General features: G+C 45.7%; 1 protein-coding gene across 50 annotated transcripts in view; it reads right to left on the bottom strand.

Annotated features, from left to right (window-relative positions):
• Positions 1 to 27,309, bottom strand: part of ZNF160 (zinc finger protein 160) — a 36,809-nt gene that overhangs the window by 7,271 nt on the left and 2,229 nt on the right. For 2 of the 50 annotated variants that reach the window (NM_001322128.2, XM_047439646.1), the window contains exons 2-6: positions 17,753 to 17,836; positions 16,657 to 16,781; positions 12,378 to 12,437; positions 1,173 to 1,299; positions 256 to 384 (exon numbers count right to left, since the gene is read on the bottom strand). In NM_001322128.2, coding sequence (NP_001309057.1) covers positions 256 to 384; positions 1,173 to 1,299; positions 12,378 to 12,392 — 271 coding nt within the window. In that variant the 5' untranslated portion in view covers positions 12,393 to 12,437; positions 16,657 to 16,781; positions 17,753 to 17,836. Of the gene's footprint in view, positions 1 to 255; positions 385 to 1,172; positions 1,300 to 11,278; positions 17,258 to 17,528; positions 17,837 to 21,475; positions 22,107 to 27,309 lie in introns of those variants that run through there. The other 48 variants (NM_001322132.2, XM_047439645.1, NM_001102603.2 and 45 more) reach the window with 43 other exon arrangements.

Below are 27,309 nucleotides of genomic sequence, written 5' to 3' on the forward strand. Positions count from 1 at the left end.
AAGCAATTCTCTTGCCTCAGCCTCCTGAGTAGCTGGGACTACAGGCACACGCCACCATGCCCGGCTAATTTTTTTTTGTATTTTTAGTAGAGATAGGGTTTCACAATGTTGGTCAGGCTGGTCTCGAACTCCTGACCTCAAGTGATCTGCCCACCTTGGCCTCCCTAAGTGTTGAGATTACAGGCGTGAGCTACTGTGCCCCCTCCCACACTCTAGTTAATGAGTGGCCTTCTCTCTGCCCATCTGAGCTCTTACCTGTGACCACGCCTTTGACACATTCCGGCGTTCTTGGTTTTCTTGCTATTTTCACACAGCTCTTCACAGTCCAGGGCTCTTTCCCTTCCTCCAACATGGAGATAATATTCATATCAAAATGACACAGTCCTGTTTATAAAAAGAAAGGATCACAATGTGCCGGGGCTTTTCCAGAATCCCAGCCCTATGTTTACATGAGAGGACATTATATGTGGATCTAAGAAAACTTCAAAAATTCATCCACTGGGCCAGGCGCGGTGGCTCATGCCTGTAATCCCAGCATTTTGGGAAGCTGAGGTGGGTGGATCACAAGGTCAGGAGATGGAGATCATGATGGCTAACATGGTGAAACCCTGTCTCTACTAAAAACATAAAAAAAAATTATCCAGGTGTGGTGGCGGGCGCCTGTGGTCCCAGCTACTCGGGAGGCTAAGGCAGGAGAATGGCATGAACCTGGGAGGCAGAGCTTGCAGGGAGCCTAGATCACGCCACTGCACTCCAGCCCGGGCGACAGAGCGAGACTCCGCCTCAAAAAAAAAAAAAAAAAATCATCCACTGAATGCCTCCTTCTGAATACCCAGGAAACATGGTACATGCTGATAGAAGGCTCTATTCCACCAACAACTTAATCCAAAGCAGAGAGGTAGAAAACAGGAAATCTGACATTTCAAAAGTCTAACACAATGTATTATGCATACAAAAGCTCTGAAACCTCAAATGATGAAGTACAAAGGAGGCAGAACATCTGAGAAAGGGGAAGATTAAAGTCCAGGTTTCCCATGATTAAGCTTTCCATTTCAGAGTCAACAGGACTTCAATCTCAGTCAAGCAATGCAGGGGCTCTCCAGGGACTCGTAAGGGAAAATGCAACAATAGACAAGAACAGATCTTGACTTCTGGAAGAAAGTCATCCTCACCCAGAGAAACAAGGTTCCAGTAGTTCTCCAACATCACGTCCCTGTATAAGATCCTCTGAGCAGGGTCCAGGCATTTCCACTCCTCCTGAGAGAATTCTATGGCCACATCCCTAAATGTCAACCGTACCTAAAATGAAAAACACATTTCACCAAGTGGCTAAGGGGAGAGTTCAAAATTTCACATAAAAGGAGAAGAGGAGAAAAATGTGAGAATAGGTTAAATTGAAGTGGGTGAGCTGACAGATCCAGATTGTGACAATGTGACATACAGATTTGGTCTTCATCCCCCTCTCCTGACATAAGAGCTCACTTGAAATCAGTGGAGTGATAAGTATCTTTTTGTACATTAATGGGATAATTGGTGTCTGGAGCACCTAGGTAGCTTCAGGATGGAGGGCGGTCACCGGAACTAAGGCTCGGTGGGTGGTCACTGGAAAGGCTGAGGCTCGGTTAGACTAAGCCTCTGTCCTCTCGGGAGGACAGAGGGAATGAAAGTTCAGTTGATCACCAATGCCAATAATGGAAGCAAGGCCTCCATAATGGGGCCTCCATGAAAACTCAAAAAAGACAGAATACATGAGAGAATACATCCCAGCTCCTCACTCCTTTCCCATATCTCAACTAATAGATCACTTCCATCTAGATGTTCATCTGTGTGCTTTGTAGCATCTTCTATAATAAATGGGTAAATATAAGTGTTTCCCTGTGTTATGTGAGCCACTCAAGCAAACTAATCAATTTCAAGGAGGGGGTCATCAGAATTCACAATTCACAGCTGGTCATTGAGAAGCACAGGCCACAACTTGTGTTTGTGACTGGCATTAATGTGTGTGCGCTGTTGTGGGATTGAGCCCTCAGCCTATGGGAGCTGACCCTATATCCAGATAGACAGTGTCAGAATGGAATCAAATATGAGAACACCCATTTGGTGTCTGTTGCAGAATTGTTTATTTGATGTGTAGAGGAAAACCCAATACATCCAAAATCACAGAAGTATTTGTATTATGGAAGCAAAGCAGGAGAAACTGAGTCTGTTTTTCCCATATTTTCCTACGCATTAAGGACTTTTGAGCAAGTTATGTCTCCCTAATTCTGTCTTATTATTCTTTTACCTAAGAGGTTGTGATATCCTCTATATCAGTGTCGATTTCTCAGTTTTATGGGCAATAAGTATACAAATAAAAAACAGAAAACAAGGTTATCTCTATGGAAGTGTTAGACATTATGTTTGACATACTGAGTGATATTCAATAACTACATGAACTAAATAAGCACAACTGGTATCTTAAGAAATGATAATGCGGCCGGGCGTGGCGGCTCATGCCTGTAATCCAGCACTTTGAAAGGCCGAGGCGGGTGGATTACTTGAGGTCAGGAGTTCAAGACCAGCCTGGCCAACATGGTGAAACCTGTCTCTACTAAAAATACAAAAATTAGCCAGGCGTGGTGGCAGGCGCCTGTAATCCAAGCTACTCGGGAGGCTAAGGCAGGAGAATCACTTAAACCCAGGAGGTAGAAGTTGCGGTGAGCCGAGATCACGCCACTGCACTCCAGCCTGGGTGACAGAGTGAGACTCCATCTCAAAAAAAGAAAACTGTACTGAAGTGATGCTGTCTATAAGACAGAGGAGTAGGAAGTCCCAAGCACTACCCATGGAGACACAGATTTAATAACACTACATGGACCAAATTGTCTTTGTGGGAAATCTGGCAACCACATCAGAGGTCAGAACTCTTTTGAAACACCTGCTCACCTGAGGCCCTATCCTGCCATGATGTAGTATCACTGTGAGAAAACCACACTTCCATTTTCTCCTGGGGAGAGAAAGTATGGGAATATCCATCTAACATTCTGACTTTTTTTTTCTCTTTTTTCCTGTAACACAACACAAGGCTCATAACGTTCTGACTTTTCAGGGCACTGCTAAGGGACAAGTTTCTGTCTTGCCTGAATATAAACACTGAAGTAACAGGACCCCAGGTAAGGAAGCTACTGAGAACAAAGCCATCCGTCATAAACCAGAGCTTGTAGTAACGTACGCAGACATTAGGTGGCGGTGCAGCCCCCAGCTTACTAGGACACCAGCGAGGCTGCGGAACAGCCGGCAGACAACAGAGGCATTCCTGCATACAAACTGGCACAAGCTCTTTAGTTAAGCTACAATCAAAAAGTCCACGGAGGACGCATCCTTAGAAAAGGCTTGAGGGATCTCCAGAGCCTCTAGTCAGGATGACTGTAGCATGTCTTCCCTGAAGGAAGCCAGAATCAAAAACTACAAGTGGCTGATTAGTGAAATGCTGTGGTCCCAACAGGAGATAACGAGATATCAAAAGAAGCCAGGCACGGTGGCTCACACCTGTAATCCCAGCACTTTGGGAGCCGAGGCGGGTGGATCACGAGGTCAGGAGTTCGAGACCAGCCTGGCCAAAATGGTGAAATCCCGTTTCTACAAAAAATACAAAAATTAGCCGGGCGTGGTGGCGGATGCCTGCAATCCCAGCTACTCAGGAGGCTGAGACAGAGAATCGCTTGAACCCGGGAGGTGGAGGTTGCAGTGAGCTGGGATCCCACCACTGCACTCCAGCCTGGGTGACAGAGTGAGACTCCATCTCAAAAAAAAAAAAAAAAAAGCAAAAGAAAAAAAGAAACATGGACCATATGCAGCAACATATTAAATCACCACAAAGTAATACTAAAGAAGCAGATATATATATATATACATTATCAAAGAAATAACAATAAGACTCCTAAAGTTGCTCAGTGTATTAAGACAGTACTCATAAACAACTTCAGAAAATCAGAAAAACAATAAATATGAGATTATCAACAAAGAGATAAAAATTATGAAGAAGAAACAGAAATTCTAGAGCTGAAAAACATAACTGAATTAAAAAACACACTAGAGCCAGGCGTGATGGCTCACGCCTGTAATCCCAGCACTTTGGGAGGCTAAGGCGGGCGGATCACGAGGTCAGAAGTTCGAGACCAGCCTGGCCAACATGATGAAACCTCATCTCTACAAAAATACAAAAACTTAGCTGGGCATGGTGGTGGGCACCTGTAATCCCAACTACTCGGGAGGCTGAGGCAGAAGAATCGCTTGGACCCAGGAGATGGAGGTTGCAATGAGCTGAGATCGCACCACTGCACTCCAGCCTGGGAAACAAGAGTTGCCACCTCAGGGGAAAAAAAAAATACACAAAATTAGCTGGGTGTAGTGGCATGAGCCTGTAGTCCCAGCTACTCAGGAGGCTGAGGTAGGAGGATCATTTGAGCCTAGGAGGTTGAAGGTACAGTAAGCTATGATCATGCCACCATATTCCAGCCTGTGCTACAAAGTGAGACCCCATCTCTAAAAAAAATAAATAAAAGGAGAAAATGAAATAGAAGAATGATGAAGATAGCCAGGCATGGTGATGTGTGCCTGTAATCCCAGCTACTCAGGAGGCTGAGGCAGAAGAATCAGCTGAACTCAGGAGGCAGAGGTTGCAGTGAGCCAAGATCACACCACTGCACTCCAGCTTTGGGTGACAGAGTGAGACTGCATGTCAAAAAAGAAAAGAAAAGAAAAGAAAAATGAACAAATGAACATAGCCTAAGGGAAGTGTGGAACACCATCATGTGGTCAACTCCAATGTCAAAGTAAGAAGAAGGAGTATAAGAGAACTTAACCTACTGTGTCTGAGTGAGAAAGAAAAAATCTGTATACTCTCATAAGTAGTAAGGCAACTGGAGCAGCAATCAAAAAAAAAAAAAATCCTAGAACAAAGACCAGGAACACATGCATAACTCATAAGCACTGTACAATTCTACTCAATGTTGAATGAAGAATTAACAATTCTCAAACAATTCCAAATAAGTGAAGAAGAGGAAACAACAAAAAACAATTGTATGATACCACCCTTAGTCTGACACCACCCAAGCAAATATATGACAAGGAAACAAAAGTGTAAGATATTATTCGTGATAAACACTGATGCAAAAGCCCTCAACAAAATACTAGGAAACCAAATTGTAAAGACATTAACAGGATTATAGTCCATGACCAAGTGGACTACACACTGGGAAGACAAGAGTGGTTCAACAGAAGAAAGTCAATGTAATACACCACACTGACATGGTGAAGGACCAAAACCACATGCTCATCTCAATCGGTGCAAAAAAAAGTTATTTGACAAAATTCAACATAGTTCATGATAAAAATGCTCAACAATTCGGGCACGGTGGCTCACGCCTGTAATCTCAGCACTTTGGGAGGCCAAGGCAGGTGGATCACCTGAGGTCAGGAGTTCAAGACCAGCCTGACCAACATGGAGAAACCCCGTCTCTACTAAATACAAAAATTTAGCCAGGCATGGTTGCACATGCCTGTAATCCCGGCTACTTGGATGGCTGAGGCAGGAGAATCTCTTGAACCCGAGAGGCGGAGGTTGCAGTGAGACTGTGCCACTGCACTGCGCTCCAGCCTGAGCAACAAGAGCAAAACTCCATCTAAAAAAAAAAAAAAAAAAAAAAAATAGGCTCAACAAATCAAGGAAACTTCAGAATATTAGATTTGGCAAAGATTTCTTGGCTATGACACCAAAAGGAAACACAATAGCAGCAAAAAAAAAAAAAAAGGGACTGCATCCAACCGAAAAACTTTTGTGCATCAACAGATGCTACCAAGAGTAAAACAGTATGCCTGTGACAAGTCCTAGCCAGAGCAATCAGGCGAGAGAAACAGAAGGCATTCAAACAGAAAGAGGGCTGCATGCAGTAGTTTGCACCTGTAATCACATCACTGTGGGAGGCCAAGGTGAGAGGGTAGTTTGAGTCCAGGAGTTCGAGACCAACATGGGCAACATAGTGAGACTCTGTCTCTATTTTTTAGCAACGACAACAAAAACAACAAACGAAAAGGAAAAGGAGGAAGTCAAATTATCTCTCTGAGAAGGATATGATTCTGTATCTAAAAAACCCTAAAGATTCCACTAAAAGACTCCTAGACCTGATAAATGACTTCAGCAAAGTCTCAGGATTTAAAATCAAGGTACAAAAATCAGCAGTACTTTTTTTTTTTTTTTTGAGATGGAGTTTCGCTCTTGTTGCCCAGGCTGGAGTGCGATCTTGGCTCACCACAACCTCTGCCTCCCCGGTTCAAGCAATTCTCCTGCCTCAGCCTTCCTAAGTAGCTGGGATTACAGGCATGCACCACCACGCCCGGCTAATTTTGTATTTTTAATAGAGACTGGGTTTCTCCATGTTGGTCAGGCTGGTCTTGAACTCCCGACCTCAGGTGATCCGCCTGCCTTGGCCTCCCAAAGTGCTGGGATTACAGGCGTGAGCCACTGTGCCCGGCCCAGTCAGCAGTACTCTTAAACGCCAATAATGTTCAAGCTGAGAAACACATCATCAAGAATGCAATCCTATTAAAAATAGCCACACCCCCCAAAAAATGACTAGGAGTATGTCTAACCAAGGTTGTGAACTATCTCTATGAGGAGAACTACAAAATACCAGTGAAAGAAATCAGACAACACGAACAAATGGAAAAGCATTTCATGCTCATGGGTTGAAAGAATCAATATCAATGAAATGTCCAAACTGCCCAAAGCAATCTATAGATTCAACAGTATTCCTATTAAATGACCAACATCACTTTTCACAGAATTAGAAAAAACTTCTAAAATGTATATGAAAGCAAAAAAGAGCTCAAAGAGCCAAGACAATCCTAAGCAAAAGGAATAAAGCTGGATGCATCACATTACCTGACTTCAAACCATATTGCAAGGCTACAGTAAACAAAACAGCATGGTACTGGTATAAAAACAGACACATATACCAATGGAATAGAACAGAGACCCCTAAAATAAAGGCCCACACCTCCAACCAACTGATCTTCAAGAAAATCAACAAAAATAAACAATGAGGAAAGGATACCCTATTCAATAAGTGGTGCTGGGAAAACTGGCTAAACATATGCAGAAGAATGAAACTGGATCCCTATCTCTCACCATATAAAAAAATTAACTTGAGATGGATTAAATACTTAATATAAGACCTCCAACTATAAAAATCTTAAAAGCAAACCTAGGAAATACTCTTCTAAGACTTTGGCCTAAGCAAGGAATTTATGAAGACCTCATAATATATGCAGCAAAATAAATGCAGCAAATAAAAGGAATTTATGAAGACCTCATAATAAATGCAGCAAAATAAAAAATAGACAAGTGGAACTTAATTAAAGAGCTTGTACACAGAAAAACAAACTATCAACAGAGTAAACAATCTACAGAATGGGAGAAAATACTTGCAAACTACGCATCTGACGAATAACTAATATCCAGAATCTATAAGAAACATAAGCAAATCAACAAGAAGAAGACAAATCACCCCACTAAAAAGTGGGAAAATAGCATAAACAGACACTTCTCAAAAGAAGTCGTACTATTGGCCAACAAGCGTATGAAAAAATGCTCAACACCCCGATCATCAGAGAATGCAAATCAAAACCATAATGAGACACCATTTCATACCAGGCATAATGGCTATTACTAAAAAGTAAAAAAAAAACAACAAATATTGACAAGGCTTCAGAAAAAAGGAAACACTTTTACACTCATACACTTATGGGAATGCAAATTTGTTCAGACCTTGTGGAAAGCAGTTTGGAGATTTCTCAAAGACTAAAAATAGAATTACAATTCAACCCAGCAATCCCATTACTGGATATGTACCCAAAGGAAAATAGATTGTTCTATCAAAAAGACACCTATATTCATATGTTTATTGCAGCACCATTTACAATAGCAAAGACATGGAATCAACCTTGGTGACCATCAAGTGGATCGGATAAAGAAAATATAGTAGACATATACCCTATGGAATATTATACAGCCATAAAAAAACAAAATCATGTCCTTTGCAACAACATGGATGCAGCTGGAGGCCGTTATCCCTAGCGAATTAATGCACAAATAGAAGAACAAATACCGCATGTTCTCACAATGGCAGCTAAACACTGGGTGCACACAAACACAAAGATGAGAACAACAGACACTGGCGACTCCAAAAAGGAAGAGGAAGGAAGAGGGGAAGGGCTGAAAAACTATCTATCGGGTACTATGTTCACTACTTGGGTGATGGGATCTTTGGAAGACTAAACCTCAACATCACAAAATATACCCATGTAAGAAACCTCACGTGTACCCCCTGAATCTAAAATAAATAGTTTAAAATGAATCAAATAAAAGTACGTACCAATGTACACAAAAAAATTCAAATCCATGAGACATATTCTGTGGAAAAATGAAATTGTTTTTCCTACTATAATCTCAGAAAATGCTTCTAAAATCAGATGTGGCCAGGTGCAGTGGCTCATGCCTATAATCCCAGCACTTTAGGAGGCCAAGGCAGGAGTACTGCTTGAGCTCAAGAGACCAGCCTGGGAAATACAATGAAACCTCATCTCTACAAAAAAATCAAGCTGGGCATGGTGGTGCGTGCCTATAGTCTCAGTTACTCCAGAGGCTAAGGTGGGAGGATCACTTGAGCCCCAGAGATCAAGGCTGCAGTCAGCTGTGATCACACGACTGGACTCCAGCCTGGACAACAGAGTAAGAGCCTCTCAAAACAATAAACAAACAAACAAATAATAAATAAACAGATGTATAGTTTTCCCCTATGCCAGCAAGCAATCAATTGTGCAGCAGACACCGCCTGGGTATCCTCCAACCCCAGTTCAGTTTCAATACCATCTACCTGGAGATAGTGGCAAATCCCACAGGTTGAGGGTTCAGTCCCACTTCGGGCGCCAACAGCAAGCCCCAGGTTGTTTTTCCTGTGCTTTTGACAGACTGACTATTAATCAGGGTTCCTGTAACTCCCTCATTGGGTTCAATTAATTTGCTAGACCTCACAGACCTCAGGGAGACACTTTATGTACATTTACCCATTTATTATAAAGGATATTACAATGAATACATATGAAGAGATGCATACAGTGAAGTATTGGAAAAGGGGTTGGAACTTCCATGCCCTCCCTGAGTATGCCACCCTCAGGAATCTCCACGTGTTCACCTAAACTGAAGCTCTCTGAACCATGTGCTTTTGTGTTTTCATAGAAACTTCATGAAGTAGGCATGATTAAACCATTGGCCACTGGTGATCAACTTAACCTTCGTCGCCTCTCCCCCTCCCTGGTAGCTGAGGAGTGGAGTTTAAAGCCCCAATCTTCCAATCTTGCCTTGGATATTCTGGCAACTCAGGCCCCATCCTGAAGCTTGTTGGAGGCTGCCAGCTATCAGTCAATGCATCAGCATGCAAAAAGACAACACTTAGGAAACTCTATAGATTTTAGGAGCTGTATATGCCAGGAACTGGGTCAAAGACAAAGGCCATGTGAACAATCCACTGGTAGATAAAGATAAAGCATACCATTTCATTTCGTTAAGGCCTTCCAAAATAAGATAAACTGAACAAATAATTGAGAAAGGGGTAAGCAACGAAAGATTATTTTTACAGTAGAATAATGTGTAATCGAAAGGAAGACAACAGTGCGTATATAAAGAATTAAACCAAGCCGGGCACAATGGCTCATGCCTATAATCCCAGCACTTTAGGAGGCACAGTCAGGAGGATGGCTTGGGCCCAGGAGTTTGAGACCAGCCTGGGCAACATAGTGAGACCCTGTCTCTACAAAAAACAAAAACATAAAAAATTATCTGGGTGTGGCAGCACACAACCGTAGTCCCAGCTACTCAGGAGACTGAGGTGGGACAATTGCTTAGGCCAAGGAGGTCAAGGCTACAGTGAGCCATGACTGTACTGTAACCAAGTACGCTCATTTTTCTAAGAAAAAGGGAGTGAGTTATTATTTTTTTCTCTTATTTTCTCCTTTCCCCATTTTCCCCTGTTCCCTACTTCCTACTTAGCCCTTTAGAAATACACTTATAACCTTTTACCTCCCCTTCAGCAGACACTCTCTACAGGGCAAGTTCATCCAACTATGTGCTTCGAGCTCCAGAGGGGAATCTCACTTGCCAGGAGGTTACCTCGAGAAACAGCAATCAATCTACAACCCAAAGTCCTGCTACAAAACTCTCTCCCACCCGGAGAGTTTCAGCCACTTTTACAACCCAGTTCTGCCCACGAAGGCACCAGTGGCTGCCAGCTCAACCCCCTGGTACGTAAGGCACAGAAGCAAGTTAGGGGGACACCCACCTGCTCGCTTCCTCTCCTTAGTGCCATTCATGCCAAGCCCGCCTTTTAAAAGCGCCTGCTTTCTGCTCCAAAAGCAATGCAGTACCTTACGGCAGGAAGCCTGTACTTCTTCCCCTAAGCTAGCTTTGGAATAAAAAGTCACTGTCTTTCTACCAGACCTTGCTCTTGTTAACTGGACTCTGCAAGCAGCGAGCAACTGAACCTGCATGTCAGTGACAGAGCCGCCGTGCTCCGGCCTCGCTCCAGCAACAGGGTGAGACCCTGTCTCAAAAAATGTAGTAAAAGTTAAAAAGAAAATAAACCGCAGAATACAACACAGCTCCTGAATTCCAGGAACAGAAAATGGAGCAAAGTATAAAAATTCATTTCATATATACACATCCACAAAGTAATGCAACCCACTCAGACTCACAAGGAATAAGAAAATGAAAATAAAATGGGTTGCATTATCCCCGCATTTTCATAATATAAAATGAACACAGTGGCAAGTTTGCTTAATGAGGGGGAAATCTGACGTGGCATTGGTGGGAGAGGGCACCTCTGCACCTGGGGTAGGGATAGAATCTTGCCAGATCTAGCAACACAGGAAATGTGCCATCCTAGAAGAGATCACTCTTCCAATCGTCCAGCCTGGAGGAACTCTCCACGATCCATAGTGAAGTCGGCATGGTCACAGGCAGCCAGGGTGGCACCTTTTTTTTTTTTTTTTTTGAGACAAGGTCTTGTTCTATCACTCAGGCTGAAGTGCAGTGGCACTATCATGGCTCACTGCAGCCTCAATCTCTGGGGCTCAAATGATCCTCCCACCTTGGCTTCCACAAGTGCTGGGATTACAGGTGTGAGCCACCATGCAGCACCCTGTGTGGCATTCTTTATAGAAGTGAGAAAGTTAAAAGATCCACCTGTCTTCATTCCCAGCATGCTCCAACAAGGATGTAGAAAAGTGAGCTCCTGTTTCCTAACACGAAAACATGTCAATGTTCAAAACTTGCAGGTTAACATATCACAACCAAACATTCACTGAGGAATTTGTTTAAATCTCATAATGATGTCAAAATACATTTCTACAGGACTTGCACTGACCCTTCCCACAGAATTGAGAACAGTGGCTCCCCACTAAGATGTGAGGGAGGGTGGAAGGCTGGACAGGAAAAGGGATGCTTTACCTCTTGGCACATAAATGTATCATTTCACTATAAAAGAAATATATACATGATGCCATGTTCAAAATAAAAGAAACAAAATGTTGACTCATAACTGGTAAAACAAAAATACAGTTCCATTCTCTCTAATGGCAAGGTTGTTCTGCTTATATGCCATTCTCACCTACAATACCCGACGGACAAAGGTTCTTGTAAGAACATCACAGTCTCCATGGGATAGAGCTTCTGAGACTAGTTTAATGAATCTTGTTACACATTTATGTTGACGTCATACATTAAAATGGATGATGGAATGAAAGAATCATCTATCTCCAATGTCAGTGTCTAAACTTTCCATTCTGTTCCCAGTCTTTACGAGTTTGGAGTCGGAAATCCAATGACTCACTTGTTCGGCTTCAAATGCAGTTACCAATGAGGCAGGAAAGCTTTCCCCTTAGTGTTCTTTTCTATGCCAGTGAGCAGGTACGTGTGCACCTGACTTCATGGGCAGCTTCTGTTATCATGGTTTACACAGCGCTGACAGTGCATCCAGATGCGGCCCCTGAGCAATCCCTGCTGCCCAACAGCACTGACACCACAGGACCCTCACCCCGTCTCCATCCATGTCTGGGTGTGAGCCCTTCCCAGGACCATGCCCAGTGCAGCCTCTTCCCAAGTTCATGTCACTGGATCACGGGAGATGGAATCTAAACGAGATGAGAGGGACTGAGGGAAGGCGCGGGTGAGTGCTAGCAAACATGTCAGGCAGGACGCTTCAGACTCAGAGAAGATTCGCAATGCCAATGCCAGGCATTTCAGGAAGAAATAAAAGAACAATCCACCAGGAGTATCACTTTACCTGAGTAAGGGCCATCCCTGACTCCTTTTCTTTCCTCTTCCTCTTCTTCCAGACTTCTTCCTTGGGTAACATAAAAGAGTCTTTAGAAGTCAATACTGAATATCCAAAATATGCTGCTTAGGGCTGAGAATCTATACATCCCCTTCATGTGCCACAGTCACACGCACAGATCTCACCCTGTGGAAAGATGGTCCTCTGCGCCCCACTGCACCAGGGGGAATACGGGGACGAGAAACTCCTACAGGAAGAAGTGAGTTTCTGACCCCTTTCTTCAGAACCCACCTTCCTCCTGGAGAAGCCCACACACACTGCAGCAGTGGGGAGCTGGGCTGGACTGAGCTCCCCTTTAGGACACAGACCCAGCCCTGACCAAACCCCATGCAGAACACAGCCCCCCTCACCTCTCTGTGGATCCCAGGCTGAGCTCAGCCTTCAGAAACAAAAGACAGTGATTGGTACTATGCTGGCTACAGAATAGAGTCAACTTTAAATATTACTCAGCTGGGCTCTAAAACACTGAAATGAAAATACGTCAAGGGGGCACAAGAGATGTTTCTGCAAAACGCCTAGGCACTCTAATATGAAGCCAGGGTTGAGCTCCACTGAGGGGGTGAGCCCAGCACAGCCCCACCTTCTGGCTCTGCTCTCCTGTTGGGGACTTGTTCTCACCAGGATCCAGACTGGATATTGAAGGAGCAAAAAGAATCACACAGAACAGGCAACATGGACCAGAGGTGGGGGTGAAGGTGGGCCTGCAATGTCAAATAGGAGGCTGTGGGAGATCACAAACGTTTCCACGGAGGAAGTGATGTCAGAACAAAGACCTCAGGAAGAAAGGCTGCTTGTCACTTGCAGCTGAGAGGCCAGGGAGTTCTAGGCAGAGGGCCAGCCCACATGGAAGCCTTGAGGCAGGAGCAACCTTGGCTCCAGGAAAAGGAAAGGGGCCTGTGTGACTGGAGCAGAGGGGGCTGGGAGGACACAGGAAGGAGATGGCGTCTGAGAGGTCCTGAGGGTGCAGATCACGCAGGGAGAGGTCTTCAAACATTCTTTCTCCCATACGTCAAAAAAATTTATGAAACCATGTATTTCCTCACCTGTTTTAAGTAAATGCTTAATTTTTTCTTCATTTTACAAAGTAACACACTTACAACATAGTATCTTGCATATTTTAAACATGACAAGAAGTTCAGCTGAGCCCCAGGAAGTACAGGGTTGCCCTTAGCTGAGATGTGCAAGACTGCAGGGGTGAATATGTTTGGAGGAGTTTGGGAAGTCACTTTTATTTAAATAATTAATTAATTAATTTTTGAGAGAGTTTCACTCTTGTTGCCCAGGCTGGAGTGCAGTAGCGTGATCTCGGCTCACTGCAGCCTCCGCCTCCTGGGTTCAAGCGATTCTCCTGCCTCAGCCTCCTGAGTAGCTGGGATTACAGGCGCCCGCCACCACGCCCGGCTAATTTTTTGTATTTTTAGTAGAGATAGGGTTTCGCCATGTTGGCCAGGCTGGTCTCAAACTCCTGGCCTCAGGTGATCCGCCTGCCTCGGCCTCCCAAAGTGCTGGGATTATAGGCATGAGCCACTGTGCCCAGCCAAGAAGTCACTTTTAGGCATATGAAAATGGAGATGCCTGTTGGGACATCCCTGTAGAGAGTTTTGGAGACAACTAGACACAGGATTCTAGACCTCAGAGGAGGGTCTGCAGGGTACATGGGGCTGAGTATTAACAGGTGGGGCATAAAGCCATGAGATGAGAAGTACGGAAAGGCAGTGGGTGTGGACGGAGACAAGAAGAGGTGTAAGGACTGAGCCATGAGCACTTGCACATTCAGAGAACAAGAAAGTTCTGGAGACACCAGAAGAGGAAAGCAGAAAGTGATCAGAGTGGCAAGAAGATTGAATAGATTTGTAAAGGTTAACGGGGTGTCATAAAAGCCAAGATAACAGAAGAGGAAGTGATCAGCTGTGCTACATGCTACCGACAGGAAGAAAAAGATGAGGACAGGACATGAATTACGGCATTTAGGAATTGGGAGGTCACTGATGACTGAAAAAGGAAGAATCAGTGGAATGCTGGATGTGAAAGCTAGATTCAAGCAACAATTCAAAGGTTTAAGCAATAATTGAAGACAAAGTGGCCGCACACGGCTCACGCTTGTAATCCCAGTACTTTGGGAGGTTGAGGTGGAAAGACTACTTGAGCCCAGGAGTTTGAGACCAGCCTGGCCAACACAGCAAGATCCTGTCTCTATATTTTTATTTAAAAAAAAAAAAAGAATTGAAGACAAAGTAAAACTAGTTTTTAGAATATTATGCTCTTAAATAGAGCACAAATAGGTACTTATTACAGAGGGAAATGTAGTTGAAAGTATTTTTTTGTCTTAAAGATGGAAGAGTAGAAGAAAAAAAGGCTTTATCATGCATTGGAGATCTGTTCAGAGAGGAAAAAAATTGTTCATACTACTCTGACACTCTAACACAGAATATTTCACCTCTAGTCACCAAAATGTGTGTCATTGTCCCCACAATGACAGCTTCTCCAGCAGACTCCCAGGTAGGGAGTCCTGCTGTTTTACTCAATTCTGACACCGTCTACAAAACAGAATCAGACACCACAGCTTGAGGGTTCAGTCGCACAGGACTGCCCTCACTTCATATGCTGTACGCTCTGACTGACCTGGTCAATGTGCTTCCCTAACACTTTCCTTGGGTTTGAATAACTAGCTAGCACAGCTTTTCCATCTGGCTGTTCATCTGTGTCCTTTGCAACATACTTTATAATAAATGAGTAAACTAAGTGTTGTCCTGAGTTCGGTGAATGACCGTGGCAAATTACTACAACCTGAGGAGGGGGGTCAAGTGAATCCCCAATTTACAGTTGGTCGCCCAGAAGTTCAGGTCCCAACCTGCAACTTGTGACCGGCATTTGAAGTGGGGGTAGCCCTGTGGAACTGACCAACCAGTAAACAGCATCTGATCCTAATTCTAGCTGGACAGTGTCAGAATTGAGTTGAAGTATAAGTTCACCCAGTTAGTGTCGGATGGAAAATGCATTGCTGGTGGGAAGAAGTTCCTCCACATTTTGGTGATGAGTTTTCTGTGTGGAGTGTTCACTATTACATTGACTGTACACTATTATATTGACTATAATCAGCATCATATAATACTAAATATTATGTAATCAGTATTACATTAACTCATGTTCTCGCCCCTACCCAACCCCATCCCAGGGAAATGGAGGAAGAGCGTGGCCCACAAATGAATGAGTCAAGTCACTGCCCTCTGGCTGAAAAGGTTACAAGTGGAAGCTAACCTCTGATGCCATAATTATAAAATGCATAGCCTTATAGACAAGTTTTGCAATTCTCATCTTTATCTGTGTATTTTAAGCATATTTAAAATCTGTTAGATTATAAAGACAGAAATCAACATGTCACAACTAAATTACCCATATTCAATCAACTCACCACTCACCTGAACCAAGGTCCCCTCCTTCTTCCTTCCTGTGTGTTTCCCTCTCTCATTCTGTACATATCTCATCCTCACCTTCCCTCCCTGGCTCTTTTTTTCCGATGTTTCCCCCCAGGTTTCTGCTCCTCATTTTGAGCCCCTCTCCTCTCCTGCTCTTTCTCCCCTTCTTCCCTCCATTCCTTCTCTTCCCCCTGTTCTGCTCCATTCCTACAACTTCTTCCACCTCTTATTCCTTTCTGCCCAAACTTTTCATTGTCCCAATCCCAATCTCCACATATTTCTGCCTCTTTCTTCCCTCATCTTTGCTCCCCCTCTGCTCCCCCTATTAAATCCCCTCTTCCCTGTTACACCCCTTGTCCCCACTCTCTGGCACCCCCAGATCCAAAGCCTTCCCATACTGTGGTTCTCCCTCTGCTCTCCTTGTCACCAGCTGTCCCGTCTTGCTGTCCCAGCACCACATTGCTGTCTGCCCTGACTCCAAATTCCTCCTCCTCTCCCCCACTCTCTGTCTGAGGAGCCTCCCCCTTTCTGCCCCTCTCCCTATCTTGCTGTCCTTCATCTCTCTGGAGACCCAGCTTTTCTCTATATTTCTCCAGTTGCTCCCTGCCCCACACTTTCTCAGCTTTGTCTTTCACTCTCAGTGTCTGTCTGCAAATTCCCCACCCATCCTCTGCGTTGCCATCTGTTCATGGTTCTCACCCGTCCTTCTCACTCCTTCTCAGTTTTTCTATTTCCTCTTTCTCCTGTCTCTCTTTCTCCTGATCCCCTGTGGCCACATATTTACAGGGAAGGGGATGGAATAAGATGCCCACCTACTGAAAGCACTTTTCCTAGTGGAGTGGAATCTGGGACAAAAGAACATTGGAGGTGAACAGACAGGCCCAAGTCACCTCCTTCAACGCTGGGTCAGAGGAAGCCATGCTTATGAGGGGGAGGCCTGCAGGATAGAGGGCAAGGCTCAATGAGAGCAAGATGGGAGGGTGTCTCAGGGGAGGGGTGGGATCTGTGGAATCCCAGGACCAGGGCGAGGACTCTCTTGCACCGGAGCTGCGGTGCTGCTGTGCAGACGCAATGAAGGGCGAGGCTTAGGGGACCCAAAGGGTGAATGCACCTCGCGGGTGAGGACCTTACAAGGCACAGGGTGGGAAGTGAGTAAAGGGTTTTAAGCAGGAAATGGCATGAAAGCTCTCTACATGGGCTGAAGGCAGAAATACTGCAAGCAGGACCTGTCTGTGTGGTTCAATGGGAAGTGACCCCTGACCTCTCATGGACACCTCTGAATTTACTTGGGAATGAAAGAGCCATGAGGGGATACTAAGGTCTATAGGGTCCGGAGTGACGGCTCATGCCTGTAATCCCAGCACTTCGTGGGCTGTAATCCCAGCCGAAGCGGGAGGATCACTTGAGCCCACAAATTCGAGACCAGCTCAGGCAACACAGTGAGACTTCCTCTCTACTAAATATATATAAAAAAAATTATTTAAACGTGGTGGTGGTACACACCGGTGGTCCCAGCTACTCAGGAGGCTGAGGTGGGAGGATCGCTTGAGCCCAGGAGGTCCAGGCTGCAGTGAACTACAATCACTCATATATACACATATGTCTCTGAGGACTCCTGCAAATCGAGTCTGGATGTGCAGGAGCCTGGGAAGCCCAAGTTTAACCTAAACAGAGGGAAACTCACGTGTGAGGTCTTCACTCCAGGTGATCAGCTTCCAGTGGCTGCAAGAAGAGCTGGGTCCCCTGTAGGCGGGGCCCGGGGCAGGCGCCTCGTGCAGAGAGGCCAGGAGTTGGGAGGTGCCTGAGGGATGAAGTGGGCGGGGGACTTGGGGAAAGGGGGCGGTGCCTGCGCTCCCCTCCCTCTCACTCCCAGGAGTCTGTTTCCAGAGCTTTGGAGGAGAGACCTACCAGCGAGGCTGAAGCCACTCAGTGGGCTGGGAGCCGGGATCTCTCTAGGTCGTCAGGGGGCAGTGTTCGGATCCAGGAACGTTTCTGCAATTAAAATTAAGCATTTAAAGAAATGCTGTAACTGAATGAGATGCAAACTAGAATGTGAAATGCAAAATTTGAGCTTAGCAGGGAGTGTACAATTTCATGCTGATCAGCAGAACCTCCTTTCCATTTCTATTCCCCGCGCACTCAGGAAGGACAGCGTCAACCTCGGTTCCAGAGCAGGGCTAAGGCCTAGGTATTGGTTAGGTCAATAACTTGCTTTTTAAAAAGCAGTAACTTTTTACAAATAGAAATAAATTCCATTGTTCTTCCTTTATCCCATTCCACTCTTGAGATGACGGCCTCAAATACCTTTGAGATAAACTTTGTCATTGTAATATGCTTATGTCAATAATCTCTACATATGGCGTAATTTGAAATTCACTTCACATGCATTCCAAAAGTACTTGAAGAAACGGAAGAGAAACCAAAGAACATAGATTACAATATTTAAATAAAAATTGTTTTCTAAGTACTTATTTTAATCTGTTGTAGAAAAAAAGCCTGTAAAATCATCTTCAGAAAACATTTACATTTATATTCACCTCAAGGGTAATTAATTTTGCAAGATTTTAAGCGTATTTGATAGGGTATTTTTTTTTTCTTTTGAGACAGAGTCTCCCTCTGTCGCTCAGGCTAGAGTGCAATGGCGCAATCTTGGCTCATTGCAACCTCTGCCTCCTGGGTTCAAGCGATTCTCCTGTCTCAGCCTCCCAAGTAACCGGGATTACAGGCACACGCCACTAGGCCCAGCTAATTTTTTTTGTATTTTTAGTAGAGACGGAGTTTCACCACATTGGCCAGGGTGGTCTCAAACTCCTGACCTCAAGTGATCCACCTGCTTTGGCCTCCCAGAGTGCTGGGATTACAGGCGTGAGCTACCATGCTGGCTGGATATTCTCCTTCATATGAACCCTATACAAAGTAAAACTAGATTATCAAATATTAAATGGCATCGTATCTACTAGCAATAATTTTATGGCAACATCTGTGAATTTACCTCTACTTTGAAGTATGTTTGCCTCTCACATCCCCACATGTGGAAGATTTCATCAATGGAAAAGTGGTGATTAATTGAAAATACAATTGTTTAGACAGGAAAAATAGCATATTTCACAACTACATCTACAGTTTCAAAAGATATGGTGTCTGGGATAGATTTGGGGACTTTTGCAAGGTAGACTGCTCTGTGTTACGCAATATTGCTAAGTACCTATGTTGACAAGAAAGCAGTTTCAGCATGGACTTCCATGATCCCAAGCAAAGAAATGATTTGATTTTGGATCTTTTCATTAAATTGAGAATAGTAGGGGTGAATCTGATTATAGATGAAAGCCATGAATCCATTTTGTATATGCAGAGTTTAAATGCTTATACATTTTCATTGAAGCAAAATCAACATATTCACAAGAGATTTAAAAAGGATATTTCTGGCCGGGCACGGTGGTTCATGCCTGTAATCCCAGCACTTCACTTTGGGAGGCCGAGGCAGGTGGATCACCTGAGGTCAGGAGTTCAAAACAAGCCTGGCCAACATGGTGAAACGTTGTCTCTACTAAAAATACAAAAATTAGCCAGGCGCGGTGGCAGCGCCTGTTATCCCAGTTACTAGGGAGGCTGAGGCAGGAGAATCACTTGAACCTGGGAGGCAGAGGCTGCAATGAGCCAAGATCGTGCCACTGCACTCCAGCCTGGGCAACAGAGCAGGACTCCATCTAAAAAAACAAAAAAAAAGAAGAAAGGATGGAAGGGGGAGGCTTAACCTTTGCTATCTGCTAGGATTACAGGGTCAAAATCGGCTTCTACATTGTCAACACATAACACCAAGTGAAACTCAAAACTAATGAACTTGCCCTGGTACCTTGGCCTTTGAGACTCGGCACTGAATCCAGCCTGGGCAACATAGTAAGACCCCATCTATACAAAAAAATTTAGAAATTATCCAGGTGTGGTGGTGCATGTCTATAGTCCCAGCTATTCAGGAGGCTGAAGTGAGTGTGAGATTGCAGTGAGCTATGATCGCACCACTCCAGCCTGGGTGACAGAGCCTGTCTCAAAAAACAAAAAACAGAAGAAAAAAGCTTTGAAGGGCACTCAGCCTTCACTGTGGGTGTACTGAATGTTCCTGTCACACATAAGAGACATCATTAACTGCTAAAGGAAAATTTCAGCTAATTGAAAAAATGAGATGCACCAACTTCATTTCAAAGCCATATACATTTAAAATTCCCTTACAATTGTGTAATAGATCAACAATTGAAAGATAAGGAAACAAGGCATTAGTGATGCACATGCTCCAATGAGACCCCGATATCATACAAGGTAACACTCCAAACTATTTTATCTTCCAAAATGCATCCGAAAGCTTCTTGATCTACAACACAAAATACTCCAAAATACCAAAGGTAACCCAGAAATTTATCTCTGAGATTTTCCCTATAATTCCTCTATTTTAAAAAGTATTCTTTATGTTTAAGGGAATGGTTGGCGACCTAAATTACCAGATACCGTTCCTCCACACACCCTGGTCCAGGGTCCTTGAAACGCCCCTGGACCTAAGCCCAGAGTTCTCTTTCTTCCATCCCGGTGCCTGGCAAATAGAAATGGAAACGATGTTCCGATCGTTGTCACTATGAAACTGAACACAGCACAAGTAGAAATTTCACCTTCGTTTCATCCTCTAAACAGACAAATCAGGTCCCGGATTAATTAAACGGTTCTAATTGCCAGTTCCAGGATGAAACCACTGCCCCACAGGGACCATCCGCTGATGCCCCTGCACCCCTCCTGGTACCCTGAGCTAAGATGAGTTGTGATCCTCTTAATGGTAGGATGCCTGTCTCCACCTGCAAACAAAATGAGTTTTTCACTTAAATCGTTTTCAATGTAAGAGTAAAAAAACCTTAGCCTTCAATTAAGTGGCCCAGTACCATTCTGTTCTTTTGCCTTAAATTGTTTGAAATGTTGGATTAACTGAAAATAAGCAGGAAGCGTCCCTGGACTGAAAATAAGCCGGAAGCATCCCTGCTTATTAACTGAAAATAAGCAGGAAGCATCCCCGGCTAATTTCAATTAGCTGAAACTTTATTTTAGCAGTGCAATGCTGTTGATCCAGTCCTAGTGGAGAGAAAGGCTGACATAGCAGAAAATGACCTGGGGCCAAGAGGAGTAGAGAGCCCAGGCCCGCTCCTTTCCCGGCCCTGCCCGCTTCCCACAGCCCAGGCTGCACCATAGCAGCTTCCACCCTCCCATCCCGCCGCCCTCTTCCAGCCCTTTCCCGTTGCCCAGACCCCAGCCCAGGGCGACTTTTACCCTTCTCACCCCACCCCTTCCCCACTGCCCAGGCCCCGCCCCCACGGTAGTCCCACCCTCCCACCCCACCCTCTTCCACCCCTTTCCCATTGCCCAGACCGCACCCCAGGGCGACTTTCACCCTCCTCACCCCGCCCCCTCCCCACTGCCCAGGCCCCGCCCACAGCAGTTCCACCCTCCCACACGACCCTCTTGCACCCCTTTCCCATTGCCCAGACCCCACCTCACGGTGGCTTCCACCCTCCCCACCTGGCCTCTCCCCACTATCCAAGACCCGCCTCTCGCTGGCGACAGCTCCCTCCCAGAATCCGCTTCCAGTTTTCTCACCGGCAGGAGAGCATTCAGGCCTTTCAGGGCACTCCAGCCCTGTCCAACCACACTCGGAATCCACCATCCCACCAGACGTTAAAATCCCCAGGTGCGCTCATGGGATTGGTAGCGAGTCCCAGCGTTTCCGCGGGAAACTCTGAGACCCGGTGGCTCTGCAGCTTGTCTATGATTTGAACCCTCCCCTTGATTTGGAGACTGGATTGCTCTTTTTAATACTCCCAGTTGGTGGCTGGTGTGCTTCCCAGCTGTCCGCAGGTTTGTTCTCATGAGAGATGACTCCAGAGTGTCTAGTCTTTGCTTTGCATAACGGATGAGGAATACAAAATGTCTTAATCTTATGAATATATAAATTGTCTGTTTATGCACAATGTTCAGTCGTTTATTCACTCATCTCCCGTGGAATCCTAAGCACAATTATAAAAGAGTCACGTTACATGAGATCAGCGTCTAACACAAAGCTTCTGTCTCAATAACAGTAAATAATAATAGCAACATTAAATGAAATATTAGTATTGCTAAAATGGGAGTGTAGTAAAAATTAAATAAGTAAATAATTAAAAGGAAATGATATATGGTCAGGTGCGGTGACTTATGCTTGTAATCCCAGCACTTTGGGAGGCCGAGGTGGGCAGATCATATGAAGTCAGGAGTTCAAGACCAGCTGACCAACATGGTAAAACCCTGTCTCTACTAAAAATACAAAAAAATGACCCAGGAGTGGTGGCACATGCCTGTAGTCCCAGCTACTCCAGAGGGTGAGGCAGGAGAATTGCTTGAACTCAGGAGACAGAGGTTGCAGTGAGCTGAGATCGCACCACTGCACTCCAGCCTGGGAGACAGAACGAGACTCCGTCTCAAAATAAATAAATAACTGAATGAATGAATGAAATATTAGGCCATTTTTATGGTCTTCACTTTGGGAGACTGATGTATGCAGGGGTGGACTGCATGTTTGTCCTTGGGGTGGTCTTTTTCGTGAGAAGGGAGCTGAGCAGGACTAACTGAGGGGCAGAGCCAAGGGCCCTTCATGGAGACCACTCTGCTTACCAACCTGTGGAAGGGCAAGCGCAAGTCCACCCAGAAACACATCTGGCTGACTATGGGATCCCTGTCTGAGGCTCAGCAGACCCACGTGGCCAATAAAAGACCCTAAATTCTGCAAAAAGAAGAGTTTGTCTCTGTGCCCAGGCCCCTCCATGGAAAAAAGGTCCTGGGGTCTAAGATTTCTCACTTGGCAATGATGTTGGCTTGAATATTATTCACAGACCCAGATCCTTGGGTCTTGCGTGGGGCAAACTGACTGCAGAACTGCAGGAAGTGAGAGTCTGAACAGAGCAGCAGAAAGGCAGGCAGGAGACCTGAGGGAGGGGAGAAAGGAGAGAGACAAACAGACCAACCCGTCCTCTCCCTCAATCACCCGCCTGGGGAAGCATTAGTTTCCCATCATAGAGAGGACAACGGGGAAAGGGAGAAGCGTGTGCATAGGATGAGATGTGTGTTGGGTGGACAGAAAGACTCCTTTCCCTAAATGTGACCCCATTAGCTCACCCCATTCTATTGCACAAATTCCTGAGCGGAGGGGCACCCTGTGGGGATGAACACAGCTCTTCCTGCCTCCAGTTCCTGCGTCTCCCTGCCATGACCAGGGCTGTAACCCTCCAACTCCCTTCCCAGGGCCCCGTGGCCCCTCTGCACTGGAGAAAGGTCCATGTTCCACAGCGGGTTTCAAGGACCTTGCCCCTCAGCTCCCCAGCTGCCTTGTGACTCTGTGACTCTGTTATCTTGGAATAAACAGGGAGAGGCCACCGGCCTGGCTGCAAGAATGTGGCAGCTTTATCTTCCCAAGGACAGTCCCAGTGGAAGCCTTTGGGCCGCAGGTCAGTGTGCTGTGTTTCACTCTGATTCTTGGAGAAATCTTTCCCTTACTCTGGGACCCTGATAATCACTCCCTCTTGAGTTGCACCCACAGACGCCCCCACAACAAACCCTCCCTAATGAAAGCCATCTGCGCCTGATTCTTAGGATCCCCGTTGCCCTCTGGACTCAGACACGCTTACAAACTCCCACACTCCCCATATACTTCATAAAGATCCCACAATCCCCAGATACTTCATAAAGATCCAGAAGCCCTGTTATGAAATCTCACAAGCCCCAGTAACTCATGGAATAATATACACAAACACCCCAGGAACTCACTGACCCAGGGCAACGTATTTCCACTCATAGTGACTCCACCCCACAGGGGAATACCACTGAAACCTACCAATAAAACAGAGATGTCTCTAATGATGCAATTAGACCCCAACATCAGGAAAGGAAACACTCCAAATGATCATTTCATCTTCCAAAACACAACTGAAAGCTTATTGATCTGCAACTGAAAATACCCCGAATGCCAAAGGCAACCCAGAAAATAATCTCTGAGATTCTTCCTATCTTTCCTCTATGGGTTTCAGGATGGTTTTTGCACTTCCCAAAGCCTCCACAGAAATCACCCCGTGGAGCGGATGCTGTGGAGCAGCTCTGGGATCCACACCCTCAGGCCAAGGCGCCCATCCTCCTGCTGCTGAAGCTCCCTCTGGGCTCAGCTTAGGTCTTGGTTCTAAGTACACTTCGGGATGTTTTTCTCTGCCTGATTCCACTGCCTTCAGTCCTCTTCACTGTGATGATGAGTTTCCGAATTAAATTCCTGCATGCAAATCTCTGTGTCAGCATCTGTTTCCCAGGTAACCTGAGCTGAGACATCAGGGCATTACAAAATGATCCTGCAGCCCCACAACCACCCCAAAACCCACTTCCAGGTGCTACAGCCAGACCTGAGACTTCTTTCCAAGTGTGCCACACATCCCGTGAGCCCACAGTCACCTGTGGGCCAGGTGCATGCAGCATTCATCCAGCTCCTCTAGAGGCTCAGCATTGCTTCCACGCCTCACTCCACACCTCTAAGGACTTCTTCACCTGTCCCCATTTTTCTACTTCTCTTCCAGCCTGAGAAGCACACTGGATTGAAAGGCCTCTGGACACAAGCGATGCGGCAGGAATGGACACAAACTGCTATCTGCAGGACAGTGGGCCTCAAGTCTAGATTCTAGAAGTTGGCCATGCTGGAAGGAATTGCCCCCAATTTGGGGACACCATGGAATCCAGTTTAAAGGCAGGTGAAGATTGGCCGGATTGAGCTGGCGGAGGATGTCCAAGAAAAAGAGAGGCCCCAGATCTCATGAGGGAGGCTGCCATTGTCCCCTTGTCTCTCCACTCACAGTCCCCTGCAAAATTCCCCCGCTGTTTAGGGAGTGCCTCCTTCATGGCCCACTTAGCTTCTGAACTTCTCGCCACCCTTCCTGAAGGGAATCCAGGACCCCTGACTGCGAGCGCATCACCTGCTGGAAGGCAAAGCCCCTGCCCAGGATGGCCACCGGGCCCCGGTGATGTGTAGAGCGCGGAAGACCCGGGAGCTGGAGTAAGGCGGTGGGGACGCCTCGGCACTGGCTGAGGACACAGGGTCTGCGGGGCTTTTCAGGCCTCAGTGAGGCCTTCTGCTCTTACATAGACTGGAATAAATAGCCACAGGAAGTTTAGACCAATTACGGATGAAATTTCCAGAATATGAGACCATCCTCACTACCCGCCCTATCCTTTTGGTCTTCCCTGAGGACTCCTCAGCCCGACCCCAGCCCCAGCATCTGAACCACAACCCCAGAGCAGGTGCTGCAGTCGTCCCGTGGCCAAGATGGAGACACAAAACACTCAAAATAATCCATGCAGAAGAGTGTCCGATGTGGTGATGGATGCGGAGACAGTGAAACCTGAGTAACGTGGTAGAGACTGACAGGCAGAGAGAATTTCAGATGGGGGTGCAAGAGGGTGGAAGACAGCTCTGAGGCTAGACCCGAAGGAGAAGAAAGGGACAGAGCTGTGATGATTTGGGGACATAGGGTAAGAGGAGGGACAAAGACTGAGACAGGAAAGGTTTTGATGTTTGGGAAAAGAGAAAAACAAATGTGACTAGGGCAGAGGGAGTCATGAGATGAGGGCAAGCTCCCAGGAGGAGGCTGGACACTGGCAGGGGCCCTGGACGCAGGGCTGTGGAGCCACAGTGAGGAGTTGGGCTTTTGTCCTGGGGAACACGGGAAGCCGGTGGAGGGTTCCCTACCAGGGACTGACATGACTGCTTTAGATTTAGCCATAACTCTAATGCAGAGAAAGGCCTCCAAAGATGGTCTCTCTGCCTCTGAGTCTACACCCCAGCTTCCATCCTTGTGGTTTTGGTTTTGTTTTGTTTTAAATTTTAAAGGACTGAGTCCCATTTAAATTTTTAATTGCAGTGGGCACTCCCCAATTCCTAGAAGAACTGCAAAACACAGATGTACACCCAATTCTGCCAAACATTAAGGGGATTAGTATTGCCCAGACTGAGGTATATTGACTGAGTCCCTCACCTTCACGTTGCAGGTGGATTTACTGAGGGCTAGACGGGGAGATGTTTCACTAAGTCATCCAAGTTGAATTAGAAGATGTATCTGACTCTATGACGGCCTCGAAGGGCTAATGGGCAACACTAGACTTTCTCACGCCTCCCCTGGAAAATTCCAGGATCTTCTTTCACATACCTGGGCAAAAGAAACTTCCCTTTCATGGCTTTATCACATTGATCCCAAACATTTAATTCCTCTTTTCCAGAAAAACACAACATACTAATGAAACGCAGAACTGTGAAAACATGGCTATTGGTGTTGAAAACAGTGAAAGACTGTCAGCTATAGAGATGAGCTCTCTCAGCAAATTTTTTCATGAACACATAAGCTCTGCTGGAATAAGGTTTTGAGTCAATCCAGCCCATCTTTCCACATTTACAGAAAATAGAACTGACAAAAGGGACTTGAGGGGGACATCTGCTTAGTAGTTCACAGGTCACTATTTTAAGAGATGACATAAGGGAAGAAAACTGACTAGTAACAAATAAGTTGGCCGAGCGTGGTGGCTCACGCCTGTAATCCCAGCACTTTGGGAGGCTGAGGCGGGTGGATCACGAGGTCAGGAGATCGAGACCATCCTGGCTACCATGGTGAAACCCCATCTCTACTAAAAATACAAAAAATTTGCCGGGCGTGGTGGCGGCTGCCTGTAGTCCCAACTACTTGGGAGGCTGAGGCAGGAGAATGGCATGAACCTGGGAGGCGGAGCTTGCAGTGAGCCGAGATTGCACCACTGCACTCCAGCCTGGGCGACAGAGCGAGACTCCGTCTCCAAAAAAAAATTAGTTAATAGGTTCTTATGTTAACGTTAAAAAAAAAAGCGTCACTGATATCTTTACCAAATACACATTCATACCATCTAAAATTCCTACTGATGGCCGGCGTAGTGGCTCACGCCTGTAATCCCAGCACTTTGGGAGGGATCACTTGAGATCAGGAGTTTAAGACCAGCCTGGCCAATATAATGAAACCCTATCTCTACTAAAAATACGAAAATTAGCCAGGTGTGGTGGCAGGTGCCTGTAATCCCAGCTACTTGGGAGGCTGAGGCAGGAGAATCACTTGAACCTGGGAGGTGGAGGTGGCAGTGAGCCAAGGTCACACGAGTGCACTACAGCCTGGGCATCAGAGTACCTCCATCTCAAAAAAAATAAATAAGGGCCAGGAGCGGTGGCTCACGCCTGTAATCCCAGAAATTTGGGAGGCCGAGACAGGTGGATCACTTGAGGTCAGGAGGTCAAGACCAGCCTAGCCAACATGGTGAAATCCCGTCTCTACTAAAAATACAAAAAATTAGCCAGGCGTGGTGGCACACACCTGTAATCCCAGCTAGTTGGAAGGCTGAGGCAGGAGAAT

This window comes from Homo sapiens, chromosome 19, assembly GCF_000001405.40.
Source record: "Homo sapiens chromosome 19, GRCh38.p14 Primary Assembly".
Lineage (NCBI taxonomy): Eukaryota > Metazoa > Chordata > Mammalia > Primates > Hominidae > Homo > Homo sapiens.